A 26,151-nucleotide genomic window follows, 5' to 3' on the forward strand; every position below is an offset into this window, starting at 1 on the left:
CCTGGTGCTTCCTGTTTTGCCAGCTTCCCGGAATCTTCTTCACATAGCATCCATTTTGAAGATACTACTTACTTCTCAATTTGGGGCTATTCATTGAATAGACTGTCACCAGGTTATTGGCTGTTTGAAGATTCTCATTTGTCTGCTAACTATACCTCTATTTTTTTTCTACGTTCACCTGGAAGACATGTCTTCTTCAAGAGCACCTTGACTCTGTCCAGAAGGAGTTCATAATTTTCAACAGAGAAAAGTAAGTAATTCCTGGGAGAACAACAGCCCCAGAAATGGTGGCATGTTTCAGCCAGACTTTACTTGCAGAGAAAATATATTTTTAACATTTTAAAAATTATTTTCTAATTGGGAAAATGATGCAATCTATTATAGAAAATGTAGAAACCTTTTTTGTAAGGTATTTAACATTTTTTAATTGATAAATTAGCCTAGCATCAAGTTTTTGTTTGTGAGAAGGGAAGAGGAATTAGGATTTAAACACTTAAAAATCAAAGCCTTTTAAAAGATTTCCTTGGCTCATGCTTATTTATAAATTATTGGGCTTAATATTATTTCAAAAGCTTAAACCTTTCATTTTATTTTTCAAAGAATAAAACATCTTTTTTTTTCTTTTCTTTTTAAGAGTAAACAGGGACTTTAACAAAAGACAACCAAATCTAGCCTTGGAACAAACCAAAGACCCACAAGGTGAGGATGGTCAGAATAACAACTTGTAAAGGCCTCATGTCTTCTTCTTGGGACAATCTCATGCCAGAAACTTCTAATTACATATGTCAAGAAAAGCTGACAGTAGTTCTTGCCACTCCACACACCATGACTTAGAAAATGTGAATGAATATATTTCAAAAAAGGCAGCACAACACAGTGAAGGGTCCTGGGCCTGAGCTCCTGGGATGTCATTTCACATCAATCAACTGTGTGATCTAGAGCAAGTCACTTAGCCACTTTCTGTGCTTTACTTTATTTATCTAAAATGAGAGGGTTATACTAGACGAGCCATACCCTGCCTTTTTAGTGCTATAGTTGTTATTCTAAACCGCCTTTATTTTTATTTTAAAATTAATATATGAATATAGATTTATTTTTCCACTCCTTCTAATTATGCAGTGACAAATGGACAAATGGACACAGGACTCAGTGAGACTTTTCAGACCTCGAAAGTTTCATAAAGTGGTCAGAATGCCCCAGGCTACTTGGATAAAGATAAGGAATTCTATCAGGGAGGCATGAATGGAATCAGATTAAAAGTAACAGAGATGGATGAGGGCCTTCCAGTGATATGCGTGAATCAGCATTAGATCCGCTTATCTCAGCTGGCAGGAGCCTGCTGTGCACACCACTTCCCAGCTCCCTCTTCAACAATGTGAAAGTGGTAACTTGAAATTGGTAATAATGGGAGCATTTACACCACGGAAACTGGTAAATGCTCGTTTTTTCCCTCCTAACAAGTGAATTGCTAAATATTAGCCCACCACTCCTTCCAAGAAGCATGTTCCTTGAGGGCTAATTGTCCTCTGAAGATTAGCAGAGACCTGTATCTGGAGAGGATCAGAAAAGAATGTCATCACACTGAAAGTATGTCCACCTTGCAGTTCAGAAAAGTTGCATCTTATATGGGGTTTATTGTCTAAGTTAGAAATGAATTTAGAAGATAGTAAAATTTACCGTTGAAAAACCCCTTAAATTACCCATAAAGTATATGGGAAGTATCTTTTCTCAGTAAAGCCCAATACAGTGTCACCTTTCACTAATGAAACAAGCCATTGCTTTTGTTTTGTTTTGACTTAGTTATTTTTATTTTTGGTCTCATTTTGGCTAATACCAGATGAGCTAAAATGTTGAACAAATTATACTTGTTTTTATAGACTAGAATTACTCTTTTTTTTCTTTTCAGGCAGAGTCTCACTCTGTCACCCAGGCTGGAGTGCAGTGGCATGATCTCTGCTCACTACATCTGCCTCCCGGGTTCAAGTGATTCTTGTGTCTCAGCCTCCTAAGTAGCTGGGATCGCATGTGTGTGCCACCATGTGTAGCTAATTTTTTGTATTTTTAGTAGAGATAGGATTTTGCTAAGCTGGCCAGGTTGGTTTCAAACTCCTGGTCTCAAGTGATCCGCCCACCTTGGCCTCCCAAAGTGCTGGGATTACAGGCGTGAGCCACCAAACCTGGCCTTAGAATTACTCTTAGAACAGTGGAATGCCCACACATCCAAGACAGGCAAGTTCATGGAGACTAAGGGAACAGTGGTATCATGTCTCCCTTCTCCCTTGTGCTTACTACAAGAATGGCAGGCAGAATTCCCTACTTATTTAAAATATCACTGATGTCTCACTCTTTTTCTTTATATTTTATTTATTGATTTGCCACAAAGTTTAATTCACCTAAGTGAGACGTGCATATGATGTAACTCCACTGTACAGATACACAGATCTTTACAGAAGAACTATTTTTGGCAACCCCTATGCCCCTGGGTAGGGTCCAGAAGTGAACAGGCTTGGTGGGGGATTGTTTTCACCTCTTGGCTACTCAGAGTACCTAAACCTGTCCTTACTTATGGAGAGCATGTGTCACACCAAGATGGCAGTAAGCTGGCAACTGCGAAGACCTGACTGATGCCCATTTGGGAAGCCAGGCAAGTGAAAATGGACCGAAGAAACAGAGATGGCTGTCTTTTATGCAGGGCTTTTCCATAAAGAGGTTACACTGGGGCAACCAAGTATGTGTAGAAAGCCAGAGCTAAACTTCAGCTTGGCATTCACAGTTTTCTCTTCACTGAGCTAATAGGCCCAGAGTTTCGGGCAGAGCTGTGAAATAGTGCTTCTCTAATAGCAACCATATTATTGTTACATAATTAAAAGCCAGCTCTTTTGTTGTTTGTTTGATTCCTTTTCCCTACAGTTCCCACATCATTTGTCTGTGCTATTCTGTTTTTCTCCAAACACTATAAACTTGAAGCAATTGCCCTGACTCGATTTCAGAGAAGGGGATGTGTTGGAAAGAGCAAGAATAAGAAAGTGACCAGATTCTGCTGCAGTCTGGTAACCCCACGAGTGTCAGGGACTACTTGCATGTTTACTTCTATCCTTCATTTGTTTTGATTCAAGCCTTTATGTGCTGTGGACTCACCTCCCTAAGTAACCAGGTTCCTCCTCTCGCTGCAACCTTGTTTGCATCCTTCCCAAGAAGAGGCTTTGGGAAATTTTTCTGTAATTACACTTACCAAAGAGCCATGGAACCATTAGGATCTCCACTGTGATGAGAGTTAAGCCATAGTGCCATTTCACACGTATACATTTATGATGGGATGGGAACCCGATACAATCTCTGTAGGCTGAATCCCTAGTTTTATTTCCAGTGAGCTGCTTCTGTGACTGAAGCACCTCTGTGGGCTTTTGGGAACCATGGATGCACAGATGAGAGAGCACAGGCTCAGAGAGTAAGATGGATTTCTAGTGCTAGCCAGGTGAATGACACACAGTGTATTTCAAGTTTGAAAAGCAAAACCATGGTATCTGACAGTGCTGATTGTAATCACCTCCCACCACTGTGCATTTTAAACATGAGAACAAAAAACTTTTCCAAAATTTAAACTTTTCCTAAATCTTTGTGGTCATTGCTAGTTGTTGACATCAGATCCTTTGGTTTTATTCTATAACTTGGGCTAAACGTTAATATCCCACTAGGTGGAACATGTCTCTTCCGGAGTTGTGACAACCGAGGCTCAGAGCTGTGATTTTTAGAAAACAAGATGACTATTAAATCCTTTGGCCTGGTATTCTTGAATGTTTTTCTCCCAGTGCTTCCCTTGCCTGTATGGAGCATCTGCAAAGTCTGAGCAGGTTTTGAAGTCCAAGAGCATCCCAGCTATAAGGCTCTTGCACTGTGACAGAGCTGCCCACCTCCAGTACACCCTCAGTGACCTCGAGTAGATGCGTAGGGCAGTCAAACCCGGCAACTTATGCCACAACCCTAATTCCAGGAAGTCGTCTGCTAATGGCTAACCCACTGCCATGGTGGCACTGGTTTTGCCTGAGGTCATTGCTAGGGCAGGAATGAACAGCAACCAGCACAGAGCATTGCTAAATTAATTACAGTAATCTAATTAATTAGTAGCTAGGCTTCTTCTGATAGGAAAGTTTCAACCAGAAACCACTAGATGTTCTATTATCATAGCTTTTGTAGATTGGATGGAAGAATAAGTAGGAAGAAAGAGTATTAATGTAGCTAGTAGGGACCAGTGTTGCTGCTTGTGGCTGAGGCAGTAATGCTAAGGCTTTAGCTCTTCAAAAGCAGAATGAAAAGGCACAAAAAGCACTTCAAGCTTGTTTCTGTACCCAGTTGTCCCTGTATTGTCTACATAAAATCCTGTTTCCTGCTATCTGTCTGTGATTCCTGTTTATTACAAATTCAGTGTGTCTGACTGATATTAAACACTGATATTAAAATTTCAAACTTCACTTATCTGTGCTGTTGTGAACAGGCAGCTGATCTGGCAGCCCTCGAATGGGAAACAAGTGCTTCTGTTGAGCTGTAGCATATATAATATAAATGTGCCTATGTGTATTAAAATGTCTTCTGTAAACAATGAGCCACTGACCCTTCTTTGTCAGCTGTGTGTGTGTATGTGTGTGTGTGTAATTGTTTTCTCCAGAGATAGCATTGCGGGTGCCCAAAGTAACCCGTTCTTATGTCTATTTCCTATTGTGAGGAATGTCCCTTACCAGAAATAATATTCTGTGACAGAGATGATGTTCTGCAACTATGGAATGCAGTATAGCTTACTTGACCCACATGTATAAAAACTAAAAATCCTTACCTCTCTAGTAGTCGCATTTCAGGGAACACAGCCCAGAATTCCAGTTTCTGCCTTTCACTATGTCCCTAAGTCCATGGGCAGCCTATGCACCTCTTTCTTTAGCACTCTGCCTTCCTACCCCTCAACATCCGTGCCCCATTCCATATACCAAAGCAGCAGGCAGAAGTTCTAAGGTCCATCACCTGGGACAGAAAGTTAACAGGCAACTCTGAACTCTTGCAGCTAAAAGCAACCTCTGCTTTAGGAGAGAACAAAGGGCACTGTCACCACCTCTCAGACCCACAGTGGGTGGGCAGCCAGCAAGCTGCTGGCTCCATGGGCTTGTCCTGAAATAGTAGGCTGTTGTAAGTTTTGTGGCCTCCGAAGTTCTGCATGCGAAGTACCCTGTTGTCCAGGTCATGTTAAGTGTCCTGCTGTGTGCTTAGCAGCCATCTGAGCAAAGGGCAGGATCTAGAACTCTTCAGATTCTGAAAAGTACCAGCCTTAAGCATGTGATCTCATTTCCTCAGGTTACTTTGGCCTTTTTATCCCCCATCTCCTGCTCATGGTCGGGGTCTCCTTTGTGATGGGTTGGTGGTAGAAGAGCTGATTCCAGAAAGTTATTTGGAACCAGAGGGCCCTTTTTAGTCTCCTACTCAGCATTCTCATTCCCCACCTGGTCAACGTGACTCAGCCACTGAACAGCTCCACCCTGAAGGAAGAGATGTGAAAGTCAATGTGTATCTTTCACCATTTAAGAAGAAAACCACTTCATGCCTTTCAGACTGCTGCATCCTGAGTTTAAGTGCTGACTATTGCCTTTAAACCCACTCAAATCCTAAACAGAGCTCAGCTGCTGCCTCGGTCATGAGCAGGGAGAGGCACTTCACCAATCCTGAGTTAGAGCCATAAAATGGGGCTATAAACCAAAGCTTATTAAACATCAAAACTCGAACTTCAACTGTAAAATAATTAATTCTTTATGCACTTAGAGTAGCTTGTGACTGGGATTCTGAGCTTCTGTGTTAAAAGGTATAATCACTCTATGCTCCTGTATCAAGGGCATTGTTCTATCAGACCAACAGGGGGTCATCACATATAAAAGCAATTAATCAGAAATGGCCATCCCCTGGTATCCCATCTCCTCCCCACCCGTCCCAACTTCCACATCACCAGGCAAAACATTCATGCCCTGCAAGCTTGCGAATGGTGCCACAGCCACGGCTCTTTTTGCCTTCCTTGCATCCATCCCTCTTCAGTTATCACAAATTGATTTTCTTTGTGGAGTTATTGGGAGTCCATGTGGTTCAGGTGGCTCAGGGGCCAGGTATGTTATCCGGTGTGGCCAATTGGTCCCACGTGCTCTTCTGGCCACAGTGACTAGGTCAATGATGAGTACATGCCCCAAGCCAGACTGAATCAGTCTTTTTAGCGGGAACTATTGAGGGACTCTCTCCCTCTTCTGAGGTTACTAAGCAGGTGAAATGAAAACCTGGAGATGCTGACAACCAACTTTGTCCCACATAAAAAGAGCTTTCCTGGCCAGGTGTAATCCCAGCACTTTGAGAGGCCGAGGCGGGTGGATTACTTGAGGTCAGGAGTTCAAGACCAGCCTGGCCAACATGGTGAAACCCTGTCTCTACTGAAAATACAAAAAATTAGCCGGGTTGTGGTGGCGCGTGCCTGTAGTCCCAGCTACTCAGGAGACTGAGACAGGAGAATCGCTTCAACCCAGGAAGTGGAGGTTGTAGTGAGCTGAGATGGTGCCACTGCACTCCAGCCTGGGCAACAGAGGGACACTCATCTCAAATAAAATAATAAAAAAAGAGCTTTCCTAAGAAGGAAGCACTTACTGAAGGCACACAGGGCCGAAGTGGAAAGAAGCAACGCTCTGATGTCAGGGTCTAGCACTTAGATCCAACTACACTTGAGTCTGCCTGACTGAACTTTATAGTTGCACCAGACTTTAAAATTCCACTTTCCAATTTCCCCCTGGTAAACTAGTTTAACTTTTGCAATGAAAATATGATCTGCACAACAAATTACAACTGGATTCAGCAGTGTTTCCCTCAAAAGGGTGTAGTATAATAGGTTTGGTGGGATGCTAAAAGATGGGATGGGATAGAAGGGTTCAGTAGTCAAAAGCTTGAGAACCCTGAATTAGGCAAACTTTGAAAGACCTTTATCACGGGATTTCTCAGAGTCTTCAAGTTGCCGATATGTACCTGAAAGCTCTAAGAAGAGCAGATATAGCAAATAATGCTTCCGTACACTGATTTTACTCCTTGGGATCCATTTGATAAAGAATATACTTTGGTATGGGTGTAATTTGAGTTTTTCTTCAAGTCTAGGCTATTAAAAAGAAGCAGAAAATGCTTCCAAAACAATCAAATAGCAAGGCTTTAGGGGAAAGACCAAAAAAAAAAAAAAAACCCAAAACAAAAAGCTTTATGGCTCTGTTCTGGACTTAGCTAGATTTATCCCAAATGGCATATAATACTAAATTTGATGATCCACAGAAGAAAAAAACTTACTCATTCTCCAAAGTTTCAAAATGGCCATCAAGCTTGGTGGTCAAAACTAACAACTCAATTTCAAAAATAGAAGCCCCCAATTTTTCTCCAGACAACTCTGTTATCAGCAGATCTGCCTGCCCCTCTTACTAACCCTTTCAGTTCTACTGGGCAATTTTAATATTATAGGTGAAAATGCACATCACACAAAGAAGAAGACTGGAGAACAATGTTGGTAATTTCATAGTTATTTTAATAACCAGGTTTACATTAACAGTCACGTGATGAACTTTTTTCTTTAATGTCAGCTAAACTCAAAACACAGTTTTGTTCACGGTTCAAACCAAACAGCTCTTCACGTTCCAGAGCTGCCTCACAGCTAGCACAGATCACAGGAGATTACTGTCTGTCCATACCCACCAGACACAGAACTGAACACCCACACACCAGTTTTCAAAGAGGGAACTTACAATGAATGCTGGCTGCCCAGGGCAGCCCATGAGTGTATCTGGGACTCAAGCTGGAGTTTTCCAGGGGAGAAAGCCTGGGAAGCTTGTGGCAAGGAAGTTGGGAATTGCCCACCCTACTGGAAAGGGCTTCTCAGGGATGAGTGAAAATCCAGGCTCAGGTGTCAGCCCTTTGTGGAAACATGACACTCTCAGTATAGACAGTCGTGAAGAACAAGGCTGAGGGATTTTGAAGTAAACCCATTTTCAGGATGACTACAATCCTTCCACTTCTAGAAAACTTAGAAGTACAAGAAATAGCTCTACTACGGGTAACTGATTTAACAATTTCCCAAACACCCTTTCCACTACCCAAGCCCGTGGCCCTCAGAGAGAACCGGGATGGATTGCCATCTGGGTTCAGAGGCAATATGAGGAGGTTGGGGGGATGGCAGGGGCATCCTCAGGGTTGGGGGGCAGGCCAAGGGATGAGATGGCAAAGGACAGCTTTGGAATCAGATAGACGATCCAGCGTGCCTTCCTACACTTGCATGAGGTGCCAGTGAATTCGAAGAGGGCCGGGACTCACCATTGTTTTCTTTTCCTAAACCTTTTGTATAGGCCTGTTTGATGTGTCTTATGAAACGAAACAAATCTGAATATAAATTTTAAAATAGTGGGAGTTATTCTCGCAATTCCCAGGGATTTCTATGCTTGGAGAGTTAGTAATGGTAAGTGAAGAAAGAGAGGCTTCCTGAGCTCATGTTGTTCCTCCCAAGGGCATTTGGGGGTTGTTCCCAGAGCAAGGAAATCTTGTGCAGAATCAAAGGTTCTGGTGGAATGGTTCACTTCGGAAGTCCCAAGGGCAGTGCGGATGACCGATTTGGCCATGGAAGACTTATCTTCATGGCACAGAGAGGTTGTGCAGAGATGAGTCAGACTCAGGGGCTGAGTAACAGCAGAGCAGAGAGTGCAGAAGTGGACGCTCAGAAGCGAGTTTATGTGTGTCTTTTCCTCTATCTGCTGGCTGTGGCTGGTACTGCAACCTATCCCAAAGTAACAGCCTAGTCAATGAGGTATATGCTTCAGATCTGGCAAACTCTCTCTGCACATAAAACTGTTATTCTTAGTTCTCTGAAAGACCCCCACATCTTTGAAGTGTAAACTAAGAGCTACATTTTCCCTTTTACTACATCTCCCTTAAAAGAAAAGCACTACAAGAGCTTTAAAATAGCAAGCTTCCCTATTCTAAGGGGAAATAGTCTTTTTTCATGATTTGAACAGAAGGTAGCTTGCTAGGGGAAATCCTGTTCCTTGGCTATCTCCAAATTCCTTTGTAGCCCAGTGTGTACTTTTCTCTGGTCTTCAACTTATTCAAACCTGCAGTCAGAGACAATGGTTTCTCCTAAGCAATTAAAAGGTGTCTGAGGCCTGCTCTTCTCTTCAAAGCACTTAGTACACAGGGTTACAGGTGCTACCACTTGGATTCCCCAGAGCATGGAAGTCTGATCCCAGGTTGAACATATTTCTTCTGAAAATGAGCATCTTGGTTCTATAGATTCTTATCTTGCTCACAGGACTTGCTCCAAAACTGAATTTTCAGAAGCAGCATGATAGGGAAAGAGATATTCAACTCTGACAGACAAGGTAGATCGAAGCACCCACACTAATTTCTTTCAGGTGCCCCATGAGGAAGACTGCATCATGTCACTTCCACTCACTTGGGGAGATTCTAGGACTGAGACACAAAGTTCCCCCAGAGTTTCTGCTAATGGAAGGGGAAACAGGTGGTTTGGAATGGAAAGGTGGAACCAGGTCCACAAAATGTGCTCCCTCTGCTCAAGACTGACTTTGGCTTTCCCAGTTCCCCACTTGACTTTCATATAAGCTGAGATGACCTATTACGGTAAAAATTAGGGAACACCTAATAAAACCAACTTTCAAAAACTCCTATTTATCATGGATGTGCCAGGATCGAGAGAATCAAACACAAACTGCCTGTAAGAGAGGCCCTTCATTCTGCCTCATCTGAGCTAAAATCCTGACTTGGGATGCCAGAAGCATGCCACTCTTCTCGGTTTGCAAAGACAGAAGAGTGAGAGGTGACCTCGCCGTGTTTAGAAGGAAGCGTCTTTAAGCTGTGGGTGCCCTCACCACGTGGGCCTGTGCTATGTTCTCAGCTGCTGGCTTTTAAGAGCACCAAAGAGGCAGGGAGGGCAAGAGGAAGAGAAGTGTCATTTGCTCTGTCCCTGCCTGGCCTTCCCAACCCAGGAAAGAGAAGGATTTGAAAGCAACACTAAGAAAGAGGCCTGAGCAAACACTGGCACAATCAAGCAGGTGGAAGAAATGGTTGGGTCTTGGCATTTTAATAAACGTTCAAAGAAACAAAATTTACTTGTAGGGGACGTGACAAAGAACAGAACCCAAAGACTGCCTGCCTTCTCGGCAGACCCTAGGGAGCTGTGGTGATGTGACAGCTGCCACAGCGGCTATCTTCCATGGAAATAACGTACGTCATCAACACAATATACAACACCCCTTCCACTCACCTGACCCACCCACCTCCCTCCTACATGCCCTACCCCAGCCCCTCTGCACCCTCCACCTTGCTCCAGGCTCCCACCACCCACTCACCCCAAATAACCTGCGTCCCTTTTGTTCATTTCCCTGACGTCCCAGCTTGTCTGTCCCCTTGTCATAAGATGCAGCACTACACACGCTCTCAACACTATGATAGAGCAGACTCTTTTACCTTAGTGGCCTGTCTGATTGCATGCATGTAAATGGGGGGAGGGGAGTCAAACAAATCAAGGCTATGCATAAACAGAAAACAAAGCAATATTCGTAAAGCTAGGCAAGCGAGCGTAACATTGGAGAAACATAAGGCTTGAGGCTTATTGATTCTTTAGATCACAACCGTTTGGATTCGCTTTCCTTCTTAAATATCGGTGTACCATTTTGGCTTCAAAACAATCTCTTCTTGCTTCTGCCCCTCTCTTTGAGGAAGGCTTGCTTAACTCAGAGATGTGATATTAGAACGGCCGCCTGGGGGCGCCACGATGCGCTTGCTGGCTGAGCGAACCCCCTCATCCACTTGGGTGCCTACAGTTGGAAATAAATTCCCAGGGGGAAAAAAAAAACAGAGTGGCGGGTAGGGGGATGTGGGCAAGAGAGAAACTGGGTTAATTTTAAGAGTGCAAGATATGAAGTGCCTTGCTGGCCTCACCTCCCAAGAAACTTCCATTCCAGTCTATCAGGTCTTCTAGACTTTTCTTATGGCCCCGAAAACTAGCCTCTGGTAGGAAAAGCCAAGTTCTTATCTAGATTTCATCTGACCCAGAGCATGATAATAATACTGGGAAGAAGAACAATGACAAAGACGTGACACTCATTGTGGCAGGCAATGTTTTCCGTGCTTAACCATTATCTCCTTTAATCCTCACCACCATGGTTTGAGAGAGGTGCCCTTATCTGTTTTACAGAGGAGATAACTGAGGTTCTGAAAGGTTAGGTCACTTGCCCAAGATCCCACAGTGCAAAGCAGTGATGGTCAGGTCTTTGTGACAACAGCACAAAAAGAAATTTCAATGTGTGCTTGGGTCTATTCAGAAAGGAGCCTCTAAAAGCTTAAGAATTAAGGTAGCCAGAGAACAACAACAACAAAAAAAAAAAGGCAAAAACTTTGAAAAAAATTGCTTATGACTAGCAGAATGTGACCTCTGGCAAAGTTACCTCCAAACTTTAAACTCTTTTCCTTTGTCTTTCTTCCCCTAGGTCTCCCTTACCTCTTTCTCCCATGTTTCTGTTTCTCCCATTCCATACCCTTTCCTCATATGCTGTAATTTTACCTTTAAATGTCTTTCTTTTCTTGTTATCTTACTTCCTTCACATTTAAATTATTCATTATAGGAATGCGAATCTACATTTATTTTTCTCCATTTTAAGACTACTGGTTATGGAGCAACTGAATGATTATTTTCTAATTATATCAGAGAGTTCGTAAAGAATAGGTAAGACTAATCACATGGCTAACACATAGTAGATGTTCAATCAGTGGTAGCTAGTGTTAGCATTATTATAATTACTAGGAATGGGAGAATATAATAAAAATCCTAGGTTAGAAGACGCTACTGCAATTTGAGCATAAAAATAATTTAAGCTATCTTTTAATCTGGACAAATAAAGAAAACATACTATGTTGCATAGCGCTCATAGGCTAATGCTGGAAATCACTATCAATTCATAGAGGGGACCAGCTCCCCGACCCTGCCCCCAACCAGGGCTGATCTCTAGGCAGAATCAGTTACCACTTAAACCTGGTCTTCGGCCTGACTGCCTTGTCTTACTTTCTTACCAGGACCCCTTGTCAATTCAGGGACCCTTCCTGCTTGCCCCAGTAACCTTCTCCCTAAAGTTGACACCAGTGCTAGGCTGGAAAACTCCTTCAGGTTGAGTTCTGAGGAACACCCTGTGGCCTCAGAACATTGATCTTCCCCTTCCCCCTTCTCTTATCTTTTGATGAGCCTGTCCCACTCACCTGACAGGCTAAATCCCGACTGATGAAGATTCCTCACAGGTGGGTTCGGCCGAGTAGGAGAGCCCCGAGCAGAGCCTGCGGGGGTGCCACCTTTGGGGGTGGTGGTCAGGTCAAACACAGGCCCATCGTACATGCCCCTTGGGACGGCATGCAGGTCTGCCATCTGCAGCCAGAGAAGAGCATGTCACCATTCATTCATTCAGCATTTTAGGGTCTGTTCTAGGTATCATAAATATATTAGTGAATACAGTGTGTGGTGGGAGCTAGGAATTAACAATAATAAAGATAATTTGAGGAAGGGAGAAGTAGTATAAAATAAATAAAGGAGGATGTGATGATAGAGTGACAATGGATGTGGTCAGTGAAGGCCCTTCTAAATAGATGAGCTTCGATCAGAAGGATCAAAGGACGTTGCTATGGGGTTGGGGTTGCCAGAGGGAGGAGGTTGGAGGGATACCGGGGAGTGGTGTGGATGACAGAGAAGCCAGCAAAGAGAAGAGCAAGGGCAGACAGCTGAAGTGGGAGTGATTATGAAATAGAAGAACAGCAGTACAGCTGGAGCAGAGGGATAGGAAGGGTAGGTCATGACACGAGGTCGCAGGTCCTGGCCAGGATGGGATCACATGGGAGCTCCACCCTCACACTCTTCAGCACACACCAGGGTGGGCAGGCCTTGAAGTGAGTGTCTGTGGTCTGACCCACTGACCTCTGTCTGTGGCTGTGAACTTGCCCTGGGACTGTGGAGCCAGCCAGCAACTTCCACCCAGCACATGCTCTGCTAGGCCTTGTGCCAGGCACTAGGGCCTTTGGCCATGGGAAACACGGTACCTCCTGCAAAGGGGCTTACAGTCAACTGGACAAACACTGCAAGACCACCCATGGCAGCGGCACACAACCTCCACCCATTTCTTAACTTTGGCCAGAGGGGAGGCAATGAGGACGCGCTGCCAGAGGAGCCTGACCGTGCAGGATGGATCATCACAAGAAGTCCTGTCAGAGCCTCCTTCCCTGTTAGTGACTCAAATGCCAGCACAGAAGCCGAGCCCATCAAATGTGCAGATGCTAATGATTCTAGTGATGTGATGACTGTATCTGTACTCCCCAAAACCAAGAACTCTACATCATCAACACTTCCCTGGTTTCAGAATCTAAATCACACTCATAGAAATAAAGGGTCAATATTGGGGAAGTCTCCTTCTCTATTAGGCCCAAACTGGAGTGTGGAGCTCAAATTCCACAATCCTAGGGTAGGGCTAATACACATATATATACAAACACATATATATACGTATATCTGTATATGTGTGTATATATATATATATATATAGTGTGTGTATAGAAAGTATAATACAATAAATACAATAAATATAAATATGTGAATATATTTATTTATACGCATTTTTGTTTTTAATTATATTTATTGTATTGTTATAATACAATACACAATACAATATAAATATATAAATGTTTATTTATATATTTATATATTATTCTATATTTATATATTAAGTATATATAAATATAATACATATATTGTAAATATATATTTAATTTCTCTGCACCTCCATTTTTTATACGCATGCATACATTTGCACACATGTATGTATCTATAGACCTATATATATATATATACACACATATCTCTGTGTGTGTTTATATATAAAATCAGAGAAATAAAGTTTTATTGAAAATACAGTAGCTAAAATGTTATAAGTGTTTGCCCCTGTGGAGCAGCACTGGACAGAATGACACAGGGATGTGTCGGTGTGGATTCTCGGTTCTCACCTTCAGACTTGAAGAGTCATTTATTTTTTAAAAAAATACACTGGCCTTATTTTGAATTATTCGAATTTAAATTATTTTTAATAAAGTACTATAAAAATGTGGGAAAAGTCATTTGGGAAAAAAAGCTCTCTTTGAACAAAAATTTTCAACACCCTCTTTAATAGTACATTAAGTCTGTGTAGTTGTTCTTGGGGACAAGACTGTCACTGAATTTCTCTGTGAGAGTCTAGAGATCACAGTGCCCTGTGTTCATGGTTACTATCTCTGAGCGTGAGTGGAACACAAAGCTCCTGCACCACCTCAGAGCTCCAATGCTTTTTACCTTCCTCCGTGCTTTAATGCGCTTGTAGACATAGTCGGAGAACGGGCTGCAGGGTATGAAGCGGCCAGCCCCCTGGGTCACGTGCAGGTTGCCATCTTCCAGCATGATCTTGCCCTGGCAGATGACAACCAGAGGAGCCCCGCGCAGCTCCATCCCTTCAAAGATGTTGTACTCTGCCGCCTAGAGGCAGGGGTGAGAAGCAAAGCCACAGTAAGGGTAGAGAAAGAGGAACGTACCTTCTCTCCTTGAGACCTTCAGTGTCATTTGCTGCTGATTCACCAGGTAAGCCAGGAAAAGCTCACCATGCATCTGCAAGCATCCAGTGGGTAGAAGGCACCGGAGACAGATTTACTAAGACAAGACTAAACTTCCTAGCAAAAAGAAGTGTCCGGTCTTTAATAAGGTCCTCAAGTGGAAGTCAACTTTTGTCTTGGGTAGTGTTCAAAGAGAAGCTGGATAACTATCCAGGATGCTGTACATCACTGTCTTGTATTGAGCAGGTGGGCAGAGAGGTTATGTGGCCTTTAGGTCCCTCTAGCTCCAAATTAAATAACATGAGATGACACAATATTTAAGCAAAGGCCATTGCCACCAAAAATGGGATTTCTCCCTACCTCCTTCATTTACTCAATCAGCAAGAGGCATTACTGTACTGCCAATAATTAAGAACATCAGTTTAGAGTCAGCTTGTCTGGGTTTCAATGCTAGCTTCACCATTCGCTTGCTGCACAAATTATTTAATTTTTCTGTACCTCCAATTTTTAATCTATAAAACGGAGGATAATAGTCCCTACCTGTAGAAGACTACTATGGAAATCCAGTGAATTCAAAGCACAGTGCCTGAAACATAAGTGCTTAAAAATATTAACTATTTTTAACAACAGTGTCGAGCCCGTTTCTGTTAGGTACTGCACTTTAATTATCATCCTCCATGTGAAACTCATCGTGAAGAAGTCATCACTGCTGTTTACCAGTTATTTCCTATTCTTTCCCTTTCCAGGCACAAAGGATCATTGCACGCCCTGACTTCCGGAAGTTAGGTATAGCCACAGGACTGGCTAAGACCAGTGCCATGTGAGAGGCAGTGACGTACACCACATCTAGGGGAAGCTTTCAGAGCCAGTAGACCATTCACCAGGTCATGTTCCCCTGTCTCAGCAATCATGAAAACATATGTAGAGAGGAAGCCTCTATTGGCCTCTGTCCCTGAGTGACTGGAATGGGCAGAGCCCATCTGCTTTGGAAAGCAGGAGAAACACAGTTGAGGTTTTGAGCCACTGAGATTTAGGGGATGGATTATTATTGCAACCCGTCCTAGTCTAACTACCCTGGCACACCACATAAACACATTTCTCCTGACCAAGTTCCTTGCATGCATTCTCCATTCTACTCCACTCCCACCAGAGCGGGCCTTACAGACTGGTGGTTCTTGGCAGAGACGATCTTCACAGCATCTGGATCCCAGATGACGAGGTCGCTGTCAGAACCCACAGATATTCTTCCCTTGCGGGGATACAGGTTGAAGATCTTGGCAGCGTTTGTGCTTGTCACAGCCACGAACTGGTTTTCGTCCATTTTCCCTGTGGCCTATTGAAATATAAGAAATTATATCTATATCTATAGCTACATATATATCAATTCAGGGCTTCTGAACTCAGAGAAAGACAACCCACAAAGGCATAGAAATACAAAAAGGAGCCACCTGAAAAGCTGGTGAGCTACAGAACCTCACTCAGCAAGCTCGAATTAGCTGGGCTGTCGTGACTACTCAGGTAAAATGGTCAAACACATGGTTTAAGATAGAAGTTACTGCCCCTGAAGTATGCATTTTTTTCTATATGTTCTTACATTTACTTACTCATTTTCTTCTTCTAATTTCAAAAAGGATTATGGAGAGTTCACAGTAAAAACAAATGTGATTATAATCCCATCCTTTAGATATGTATTTGTGTTTGCATATGTTGTATGCATAGAATAAATACAAAAGAACCTTACCCAAATGATAACAATGGGTTCCCTGGGTTGTGGAATTGAGATATTTTTGTTTTCTTTCAAGTGTGTGCTTGTCTGTAGTTTCCAAATATTCTTTACTGAGCATGTGTCATGTTGGTAATTTAAAAATATATATTATCTTGGAACTATTCCAAATAGTGCCAGGATAAATACATACGTACTGCTCTGCAGTATATGAAAAAGGAAACACTATGTGAGAGAACAGACAACAATATTTATATTTTCCCTCTTTTCAAACCAAAAAGCCTCTTTACGGAAAGAATTGAGTTTAAAACCTAGCTCTGAGCTTCCTGGGAGCAAAGAAGAAAAAGAAAACTCAGTGAAATTACACTGTGTAGATTAATGAGGCTTTAGTATACATAACTTTGATAAGAATGTTTTTAGGATTTTTGAAATGAAACATAGAGCAGTAATCAACTTAATAATGAGATAATTATTGATTTTACTAAAATCTTTGAAAGAGTCTTAATTTGAATGGCTATTTCTTTCGTCAGTCCTTGTGATGTGAACAAGGAAAATAAAACAGGCCACTTGCCAGAAGACATTTAGAGACAATCACTTGTATCGCCTGAATGACCACATGCCCTCAGTACAGGGCGTCCTTGATAAGCAAGATGACTTTGGTCTAGACACAGACTCATTGCTTATCATTTCAAAGGATTATATCCAGTTCTTTCAAAAGAAGTCATAAAACTATCCAAACAAAAAGAATTAACTCACTATTATTTTAAGTACAGGCTATTCGTACACTCAGATGAAGGAGTTGCATGTCTGGTTCCTAGTCCTAACAGTCTAGATAAGGAAGCCTCCTTCAGAATGCTAGGCCTTAGGATTCATCACACTAGAAGGAAATTTTCCACACTGCCAGAGCCACATGGTTCCAGAGACATCTCAGCAAGTACGAGATCCCATCTGCACTCGCAGTGTCACCAGCCCAACTGGTGGCAGGAGGTTCTGATCTGGCCCATGGATGTTTTGGCTCTGGCCACCCTCCCATGACCTCCATGCCTTACCACAGCCTTGTCCCAGATGACAGACATCCGCTCCTCCACACCATTGGTGCCCTCAGGAATGGCTGTGAAGTTGTCCTTCCCAATTGCTTTCTGGGCAGTGCTGAAGGTGCAGTGGGCACTCCCAGATAGCTGCAGATCCCCGCTGGCAAAGGAGAAAAGCTCCACATGAACAGGGGAGATGGCTGGAGGCACACTGGGAGCTTAGAGTCTTGTGTTTACTGTGAGGGTTTGCACTCTGACTATTTGGGTTTGGAATGCCTCCTCTACCTCTTACTAGATATATGAGCTTGGATGAGTTTCTTCCCCTCCCTGGGCTCAGTTACCCCATCTAGAAAGTGAGGGGGTGGGATTAGCTCATCTCTTTTGTAGCAAAATAAAATGTACTCAAATGAGCAATGTCATGATCCTATATGTCTGCAGAGGGCAGCAACAAAGGAGTCTCCCTATAATTTTGATTGTCATCATGACCAACTATTTGAACTTAGGCAAATGATTTAGCTTCTCTGACCTTCAGTTGCTTAATATGTAAATGCTGATAAGAGTGCCTCACTCATAAAGTTGTTAGGAGAAATAAATGAGATTGTGAGTGTAGTCTTACCATAGAGCTTGGTACATAATAGGTTTTAACTACTATTACCATTATTAATATTATGACTGTATTAATGTTTAAAACAGGATGGGGAAGAGCCTGCTTTCTACGCTCAAGACTGTAAAAGAATTCCCAATACACTGTTCACACTGCAGACTCTGGTCAAGTTTATAGATGGGACTGCTCCTGTCCTCAACCCCCAGCTGGACTCAAGAGATGTTTTCACAAAACGCCTGCTGCTGGGCATTCCTGCACCAACCTGGCCAGCAAGGAGTTGATGTAGTCCGGAGTAGTTGGGTCAGGGCTCAGGGGTGGGGATGTCACAAATGCAGCCGCCTTGGCCCAGTTCTTGCTCCAATAATGGGTTCCATCTATGCCGAGGCTGGCAGTGATGGGCTCACCAAAGACTACATTTCCTAGAAGGGGCAGGAAACAGACAAGGGGTTAGCATAAAGTATATGCTGCACTGGGCCAAGCCTATTTAATTTAGCTCCTAAGCCTACCCAGGACTGTGTCTCAGAGTCAGACTGACCTGGGTTCAAGTCCATGTTCCCACCTTTTTAAAGCCCCTGCTTTCCTATCTGCTAAATGTGACCAAGTTTGTATTCTCTAGATTAAAAGAAGCCATTGGTTGTTAGATGCAGTGTTAATTCTCAAATTTTGAGGCAAATTAAAATTTGAGGCAAAAGAAAATAAAATATACATATTGATTTCAAGATTCATCCTCATTTCAGAAATACTAAAATGCTCCAGTTCTTGCTCTAGTAATGGGTTCCATGTATACCAAGGCTGAAATAGATATATTCTGAAATTGATGAAACAAGATGATGTCTACTTCTTAGGCTTGTGAAAATGAAAAGATATGGCATACGTGAAGCATCTGGCACCTAGAGGATGTTTGGTAAATATCGCTTTCTTTACCTGTTATGCCTTCCCACAGTAGGGGCCCAAAGTCCCAAATGTGCACCCACCACTGGGAATTGCTAGATGCTCCCATTATAATGATATGCTTTGGTTCCACAAAGTAAAATCCATTCCTGTGGATTAGAGACTCTCATGACTTTTTTTTTTTTCTTTTTTTTTTTGAGACGGAGTCTCGCTCTGTCGCCCAGGCTGGAGTGCAGTGGCGCGATCTCGGCTCACTGCAAGCTCCGCCTCCCGGGTTCACGCCATTCTCCTGCCTCAGCCTCCCGAGTAGCTGGGACTACAGGCGCCCGCCACCACGCCCGGCTAATTTTTTGTATTTTTAGTAGAGACGGGGTTTCACCGTGTTAGCCAGGATGGTCTTGATCTCCTGACCTCGTGATCCGCCCGCCTCGGCCTCCCAAAGTGCTGGGATTACAGGCGTGAGCCACCGCGCCCGGCCTATGACTTTTTTTTTTATCATGTTTGTTACTCCTAACATGATGACTTGGTAAAAGTCACCCAATAACCTAGGACACATCAAATATGAGACTAGCTTCTTGGATTCTGCCTCAAAAATTAGAGGCCTAACTACCCAAACCATGGAGAGGGGATAAAGGCTATTGGAATATACACTGATCTAAGCTGTTTAGCTTCTTTAAGAAGAAGGAATAGTGATATAGAAAGCAAATGCTAGCTCATAGCTAGGTGGTTGGTACCAAGTTTCTCTATGCCAAAATCTGGGGCCAAAGCTACCCTATACAGCCCTGCACTTCTTTAACTTTGGTCCTCCAACTTCCACAGTTAAATTCTCCACAAGTTTGCACTCTATGGCCAGGATCACAAATAGATTTTGCCTTGTTTCAACTCCATTCAACTGGTAATAGTTGCCTAGAATTCCATGAAGGGAAAAATTCTAATAATGCGCGGGGTCTCAGTAGAAAAGACTCATGATTAATTAGTAATGTCTGCCATAGGCAAAAGAAGGAAGCGATGGCAATGATTCACATTGGACAGCCCTGCTTTTGGGGGTGAGAGTAAAAAAAAATCCAAGTGATGAGAATTCAAGGGCTCTCCAAAAATACTTACACACTAAAGGATACAGGACCATAAAGATATGAAGAAATGAAAGTCACAGCAAGCACTCAACTACTATTGAAAGAAATAGAATCTTAAAAGTGGAAGAAATCTCCCTCTGGACTATGTTTAGCATGGAAGAGTAAAAGAAGCTAAGATAGTAATTACACCTAGATTTGAATACCAGCTCTCCCAGCTGGGAGATCCTGGACAAGTTGTGCTGCAATTTCATCTGAAAAAAGGCATTTCTGAGAAATGCCTATTTCTCAGAGTTCTTTGAGAATTCTACACAATAAAAAAATTAAAGTATTTATGTCAGTGCAGGGCACATAGCTGTTCCTCATTAAATTGTAGCTTTCTAATATTAATTCTGAGCAGCCATATAGTTAAAGAGCCCTGATGATTGGTGACTAAACACACTGAGACTTCAACCATATCCTGCTCAGGAGGGAAGTGCAAACCCTGCTACACTTTGTCTTGCAAAGAATGCTCTTGGGTGTTTCCCTGAGAATGACGGTCCATGAGTTGTTTACTGACTTCAATCTCAGCAGCCAGTTTTTCATCCCTGAAATAATACCCCCATTCCACCCCGGAGACACAGCTGTACTAGTTCTGCTCGCCAGAGAATTATGTGCCAAAAGGCTCAGGGTTAGGAATTTTTGTCCATGAAGTTTAAAATAAGACCAGCATATAACTAAAACACCCTGTCCCGAGCGGCCCTAGGTCACCCTAAGAATGGGTCCCGGGCAGAATGCAGCCTCAGCAGAGGGCATGAGGGCGGTGGGTGGTCACAGTTGGCAGGGGTGTGTGTGTGCGGCACTGGGTGAGGGCACAAGGAGTTCCTACACACTTCTTCTTTTTCTTTTCTTTGCTTTTCTCCAAGAATGAGTGAGGAGCACTGGGCTGCTTTCCTGGTTCTCGCCCAATGACTCATACCCAGTGGAGCAACCACTCCATGTCAGTTGAAACTTCTAAAAGCTAAGGAGAAAACAGCAGGCCTACGAAGAACAGAGGAAGGAAGGAGGTGCCCCAGAATCTGTCAGCTAGGAAGAGTGTCTAGACAATGTGAAAGCCTCCCCTCTTGTAAGAAAAATAGGGTCACCCTGTGCCAGAAGGCCAGGCATCTGAACACTCAGCCATCAGCGTCAGCTGAGACTATTTTTAGCTACTGCAATCACTCACACGTGGAGTTTCACAGGCCAGTTTGGTAGATGAATCACCCATGTTGGGCCTCTCTACTACCAGAATGGCCACTGGCACGCAGCAGTAGCAACCACATCACTGGGCCTGGTAAATCCTCTCACAACCCAACACAGAGCCACACATCTGCAGCTTCTCACCTGCACTCGTCCCTTACCCAGCCTCACAACTGAGCCCACGAGTCTGACACTGAGGATGAGAACCAGAAACAGAAAAGAAAGCTCTGAAAACTTTAGCTAAGCACAAGGCAAGCAAAGGAAGCCCAAGTTAACACCAGTGGAGAAAAGAAGCAGAAGTCAACAGGGAGCAGGGACACAGCCAGGGTCATGAAGGCCATGGTGGCCAATATGCTTTGGAGACCCACTCAACCCCTTCTCTAAAATAACTTGTGTTAGTCTCAGTGGCTCAGGAGGTGTGACCTGCATCTGCACTGTGGCCTCAATCCTGGCCAGATTATATCATCCCCGGGGTGTTTACTGGTCCAGGGATGAGCACATGACCCAAGCCAGACCAGTCACAGTGCTCCTAGGGACTTTTGCTTGACCTGCTGGAAAAGGTGTATTTTACTTTCCCATCATGCTCTCTGCCAAAAATTGAGGACAACAGGGGCCTCTCAGCATCTATTCTGTAACTGTTCATACTGAACATAAACCAAACAGAGGAAAGAGAGCCAAGAAAGGAGTAAGCGTGACAAACACCTAATACCATTGTTGAGGCCCCTCAATCTAGCCATACCTGAAACACCTACAATCGGTTATTCACTTGTGTTTGTTTAAGCCAGTTTGAGCAGGATCTTTGAATTTTGCACCCAATTTAATCCTGACTGATATGTCCGTTTATAAAACTCAGACAAGGTGAACTGAAAATCAAAGATCAAGGGGAGAAGTAAGATGCACAAAGTCTCAGAAGAACTGGTTCAAGCTGTGTCATCTTGGACAACTCATCTAACCTTCCTGAGCCTCAGTTTACTTAAATGCCAAGTGGGAGAAATCCCAGGATCCTCCCATCCACACAGGATGTGGAGAGCGGCTTCCTAGGGAGCAAGGCAATGAGCAAAGTAGGCACCATTTATATTACACAGGACAACCAGAGAGGGAAGGAGCCACACAGTGCCATCAGGGGCTCCGAGATCTTGGAAACACAAATCACCTTTTTTCCTGGCTTGTGAGATGAGGTCAGCTGCACTCTTGCTCATGACCTTTGTGACGTAGAGAGGGCAATTGGTTTGGCTGGCAATGGTGATGGCACGGAACACAGCCTCAGCTTCCAGCTGCAAGAAAAAGTCTCCAGGAGTCAATAGAAACATGAACCTCTCAAACTGGTGGCTCCCACCTCCACGAACTGTGAGGATGCAGTGCTGCACAAAGGTTATGGATAATTTTGGCAGGATCTGGAATTAGATAGCCTATATCCACATCTCAGATCTACCACTTCCTAACTGTGTCACTTTACTCAGCTTCCCAGTGCCTCTATCCCTCACTAGTAAAATAGTATAGCACAGCATTGTCATCTGAGAGCAATGTCTGGCAGAGGGTAAGTACTTTTTCCTTAGCCTCTGTGGTTATCACAAAGGTGACATCTGAATGAAAGCCTTTGCTCCTCAATCTTCTCAGGACAGAATCTCTGGGCAAACACAATAGCAAACCATTATGTCTAAAATAACCAGCCAAGGCAGTTAGGCATCATGGTTCCTCAAATCCTTTCCTGCAGCAGTAAGTGGTCAGCAAAGGGTTAATTTTAGGAGGCATTTCTTACGAAAATAATTCCCAGGTTTCTCAACACAAAGACTTGTTTTATAATTGATCTCTCCCATCTTACCCTAATGTAGAATTCATGTTTTCAAATATGCTAACCAACCCAGTGGCATTTATTAAGAAATTAGAAGTTTTCCCTTATTTTATTAACAAAGCAGGGTCTGAGAGCTGAGGCTCTCTCAGATGGCCTGGTTCTGAGTCCTGGTTCTGACACTTATAAGCTAGGTGACCTCGGGTACATTGCACAACCTCCCAAAGCCTCAGTTTCCTTGTCTGTAAATTGAGGATAATAGGATCTGACATGTTGGGCTGTGGTGAGGATTAAATGAGTTCATCCTTATAAAGCAGTTAGCTCATTCCTAATGGGGAAACAAGGTAAGTGCCCCTTGAGGGTTGGCTACTGATATTATTGTTGATAATATTTTCTAACCAGTTGAGGGTCTGTGTTACTCTCAAGTGGTCTACTCTCAACTTGTGTAAGTTAGTCCAATTCAGCACAGAGCAGAGACTTTGACATTCTTCCATTCAATTGGCAACACTTCATTTTTTTATGGATATGACATTCTGGTTAGCCTGTGGAGCCCAACACTTAAAAAAAATACCAAAAATAGCTTGCAGATGCCCAATGGCTGTATAATGCAAACCAGTCACTGTCCATTGTGGGTGTAGCTCAGCAGACAGACCTAAGAACTTGGCTGGCTGAGCTGGCCTCCCCCAAGCTGCACTTTATTGCATGTGGATGGGACCTTGGAGGCCCCTGGTCATATGTGAATATGGACACCTTCCTGAAGCACCCAGAATTTTGTACTCTGGAGCGGCTGTCTCTATGCCTGGGGTCCCAGCTCTCTGAACAGCATCACTTGAGGTGGTGTCTGGGTATGCTTGAATTGAACAGGGGCTGGCTCCTCCTATGATCACTCCTCCCACTTCACACCCATGCTGACCACTTCAGCTCCCCCAGGACCTCTGTCCTGGTCCCTTTGATCTCATTCCTCCCAAGCACTACAGGTTTTTCAGCACTTTGACAACATGACTATCTTTGGAAGGTTACATCACCCTCCAACTTCACCCAAATGGCCTTCCACGGCTATAGAGGTTTGCGGCTGAGAGGCTTTTTTACTAAAAAGGAGACAGGAATAAGGAGGAGGGTGGGGTGGTAAGGCTAAGGGGAGGTTGAAAAAACAAACCAAGGAACAAAAATAGACTTTGCTCTGAAATCCCCTGGCTGCTGCTGGAAATCCGTCTTGCCAGCACATCTCCACAGTGACCAGCATTTAAGAAAAACTTCAAAAACAATGCTGATTACCCTGGTCTCTTCACGATGAGTAAACCATTTTCCAGTCCTTCAAGTGTGATCAGCCAGGGGCTTAACCTCTCTGAGCTTCAGCTTCTTTACCTGCGCAACAATGCCAACCACACAGAGCAGCGGCAGCGAGAACTGAGATAACGTATGCAATCAGCACATACCAGATGAATGCATTCCATAGAAGTGACCTAGTATTATTAAGGAGACAGACTTCAGGGATGCTGTATGTGACTGGAACCCTAATCACAAAATTATAAATTATTTAAATGGCAATAAAAATATCACTAGATACAAAGGAGTTTCTGAGGTGCTGATAATCTGTTTCCTTCTATGGGTGCTAGTTATACTAGTATAACTAGTGTAACACTAGCTAAGTGTATCTGGTTTGTGAAAATTCATTGCCTCCTTAGGATAGAAACATTTTTTTCTATATGTGTTCTATTTATATTTTAAATAAGACTCTAAAAGAGACAGGATATGGGAATCATTTCTGGTTATGATTCCTTCTTCTCCCTGTTGTAGGGTTTGGAATGACAGGACAGAAACAGGACTCGCTTCACTGATATGGAGGGCCTTGACTTTGCTCTAGGTGCTAGACCCAGGCTGCCCTTCCAAAGCCAATGTGCTTTCAGGTACATGGGCAGCCAATTCCCAGCTCTGTGCTCCGTGCCAGTAGGTGAAGCTGCTGACATCTCGGAGACATGGAACCAGCCTCTAGTCACCTTTGATTTGTTGTTTGGCTGCTAAGTACAGACATAAATAAGCATTCATTTTATATATGAGAAACTTCCATACCTGGACATAATCATCACCTTATACAAATTGATGAGTATAATGTATATAAAAAACCCATTCAACATCTTATCTATATGCCAATATTTTGCAGGACTCGAAATAAGGGAATAAGTGGAAATGTCTATGAGATTCACACTGAGATTTCCTTAAGAAAGGGATTAGAAATTTAACACTCCTGAATAGCTGTGAAGGACACTCCAACTTGTGTTATCTGTAGGGAGATTAGGGGTCAGAAATAAGCATGTCTCTTACATTCCTTTCTAATTTTCTCACGGGCTCCTGAGTTAGAGTCAATCAGAAGTGGTCTTTGGAAGAAATGTTCCAATACTGCAACCTGGTACTCACATTCTCGTCGCCTTTTAACAATGTTTATTCATGCGTTGTGTGTGCACCTTCATCCCCTGTAACTTACCTCTTCTGGCCTGCTCAGTACATGGCCTTCTGGGCCAGTTATCCCCATTTCCAACATGCGGGTTTGCTCCTGAAATGAAAAAAGAAAATAGTTCTTCAATAAGCTCAAGTGAGATTTGGAAAAATTACGCTGGTATGTTCTGATCTAAAGATCTAAAGAATAAATATGCGTATGTTGAACAGATGTATTAATCCTATATTTGGAGTTGCAATATAGGGTAGACTCAACTAAAAGGATAAAAAGAAAAAACATTCAAGGGTGATTTGTTTTTATTAGAAGAAAGATAGTTGTCTGTTAGACTATTTTTTGTCTATACTGCCCTTCAAGAATCATACCAGGTCACTTATTGTTCATCTCTCTCAGTCTCAGCTGCCTCTGAAACTATACTTGCTTATCTCATTTGTTTATTCACTCATGCTCTTTAAGCCATTTCACTCAACAAAATGTATTGAGCAACTGCTTCCTCCTAGGCTCTGGGTAAGTACCTGCATTAAAGCAATGTTAGCCCCTGACCTCACGGGGCTTATAATTTAGTGCTATGTTTCCCGAAGTGTGGGCCACTCATCACTTACATCAGAATTGCCTGAATTGTTTTTGTAGAAATGCAGATTTCTCACCCATCCTAGCCTAACATATCAGAAGATGTCAGGTTGAATCCTAGAAATGCATATTTTAATAA

At 43.1% G+C, this 26,151-nt stretch overlaps 2 protein-coding genes across 8 annotated transcripts in view, besides 2 other annotated features; one reads left to right on the top strand and one right to left on the bottom strand.

The window, feature by feature from the left end:
* Positions 1–18,735, top strand: part of STK32A (serine/threonine kinase 32A) — a 166,965-nt gene extending 148,230 nt beyond the window's left edge. For 3 of the 5 annotated variants that reach the window (NM_001287740.2, XM_011537576.1, XM_017009214.1), the window contains 3 exons: positions 186–250; positions 635–699; positions 1,120–4,600. In NM_001287740.2, the coding sequence (NP_001274669.1) occupies positions 186–250; positions 635–699; positions 1,120–1,181 (192 nt within the window). In that variant the 3' untranslated portion in view covers positions 1,182–4,600. Of the gene's footprint in view, positions 1–185; positions 251–634; positions 4,601–18,111 lie in introns of those variants that run through there. The other 2 variants (XM_011537577.3, NM_001112724.2) reach the window with 2 other exon arrangements.
* The window catches only part of DPYSL3 (dihydropyrimidinase like 3), a 119,261-nt gene continuing 100,662 nt past the window's right edge, over positions 7,553–26,151 (bottom strand). For all 3 annotated transcript variants that reach the window (NM_001197294.2, NM_001387.3, XM_011537574.3), the window contains exons 7-14: positions 25,473–25,541; positions 22,355–22,475; positions 18,285–18,441; positions 17,437–17,578; positions 15,827–15,997; positions 14,411–14,590; positions 12,304–12,466; positions 7,553–10,868 (exon numbers count right to left, since the gene is read on the bottom strand). In NM_001197294.2, coding sequence (NP_001184223.1) covers positions 10,780–10,868; positions 12,304–12,466; positions 14,411–14,590; positions 15,827–15,997; positions 17,437–17,578; positions 18,285–18,441; positions 22,355–22,475; positions 25,473–25,541 — 1,092 coding nt within the window. In that variant the 3' untranslated portion in view covers positions 7,553–10,779. The remainder of the gene's footprint in view (positions 10,869–12,303; positions 12,467–14,410; positions 14,591–15,826; positions 15,998–17,436; positions 17,579–18,284; positions 18,442–22,354; positions 22,476–25,472; positions 25,542–26,151) is intronic.
* Positions 25,793–25,962: an enhancer, noted in NCBI's record as "experimental_81891 CRE fragment used in MPRA reporter constructs". NCBI's record gives its function as "activates a minimal promoter by MPRAs in K562 erythroleukemia cells, with activity observed for the non-introgressed 5:146788696 or rs1432857 variant allele {active_cell/tissue: K562}" and the evidence as "EXISTENCE:reporter gene assay evidence [ECO:0000049][PMID:34662402]".
* Position 25,878: a transcriptional cis regulatory region, noted in NCBI's record as "Neanderthal adaptively introgressed variant 5:146788696 (GRCh37/hg19 assembly coordinates) or rs1432857 in the experimental_81891 CRE". NCBI's record gives its function as "modulates activity of the experimental_81891 enhancer by MPRAs in K562 erythroleukemia cells {active_cell/tissue: K562}" and the evidence as "EXISTENCE:reporter gene assay evidence [ECO:0000049][PMID:34662402]".

This window comes from Homo sapiens, chromosome 5 (genome assembly GCF_000001405.40).
Source record: "Homo sapiens chromosome 5, GRCh38.p14 Primary Assembly".
NCBI lineage: Eukaryota > Metazoa > Chordata > Mammalia > Primates > Hominidae > Homo > Homo sapiens.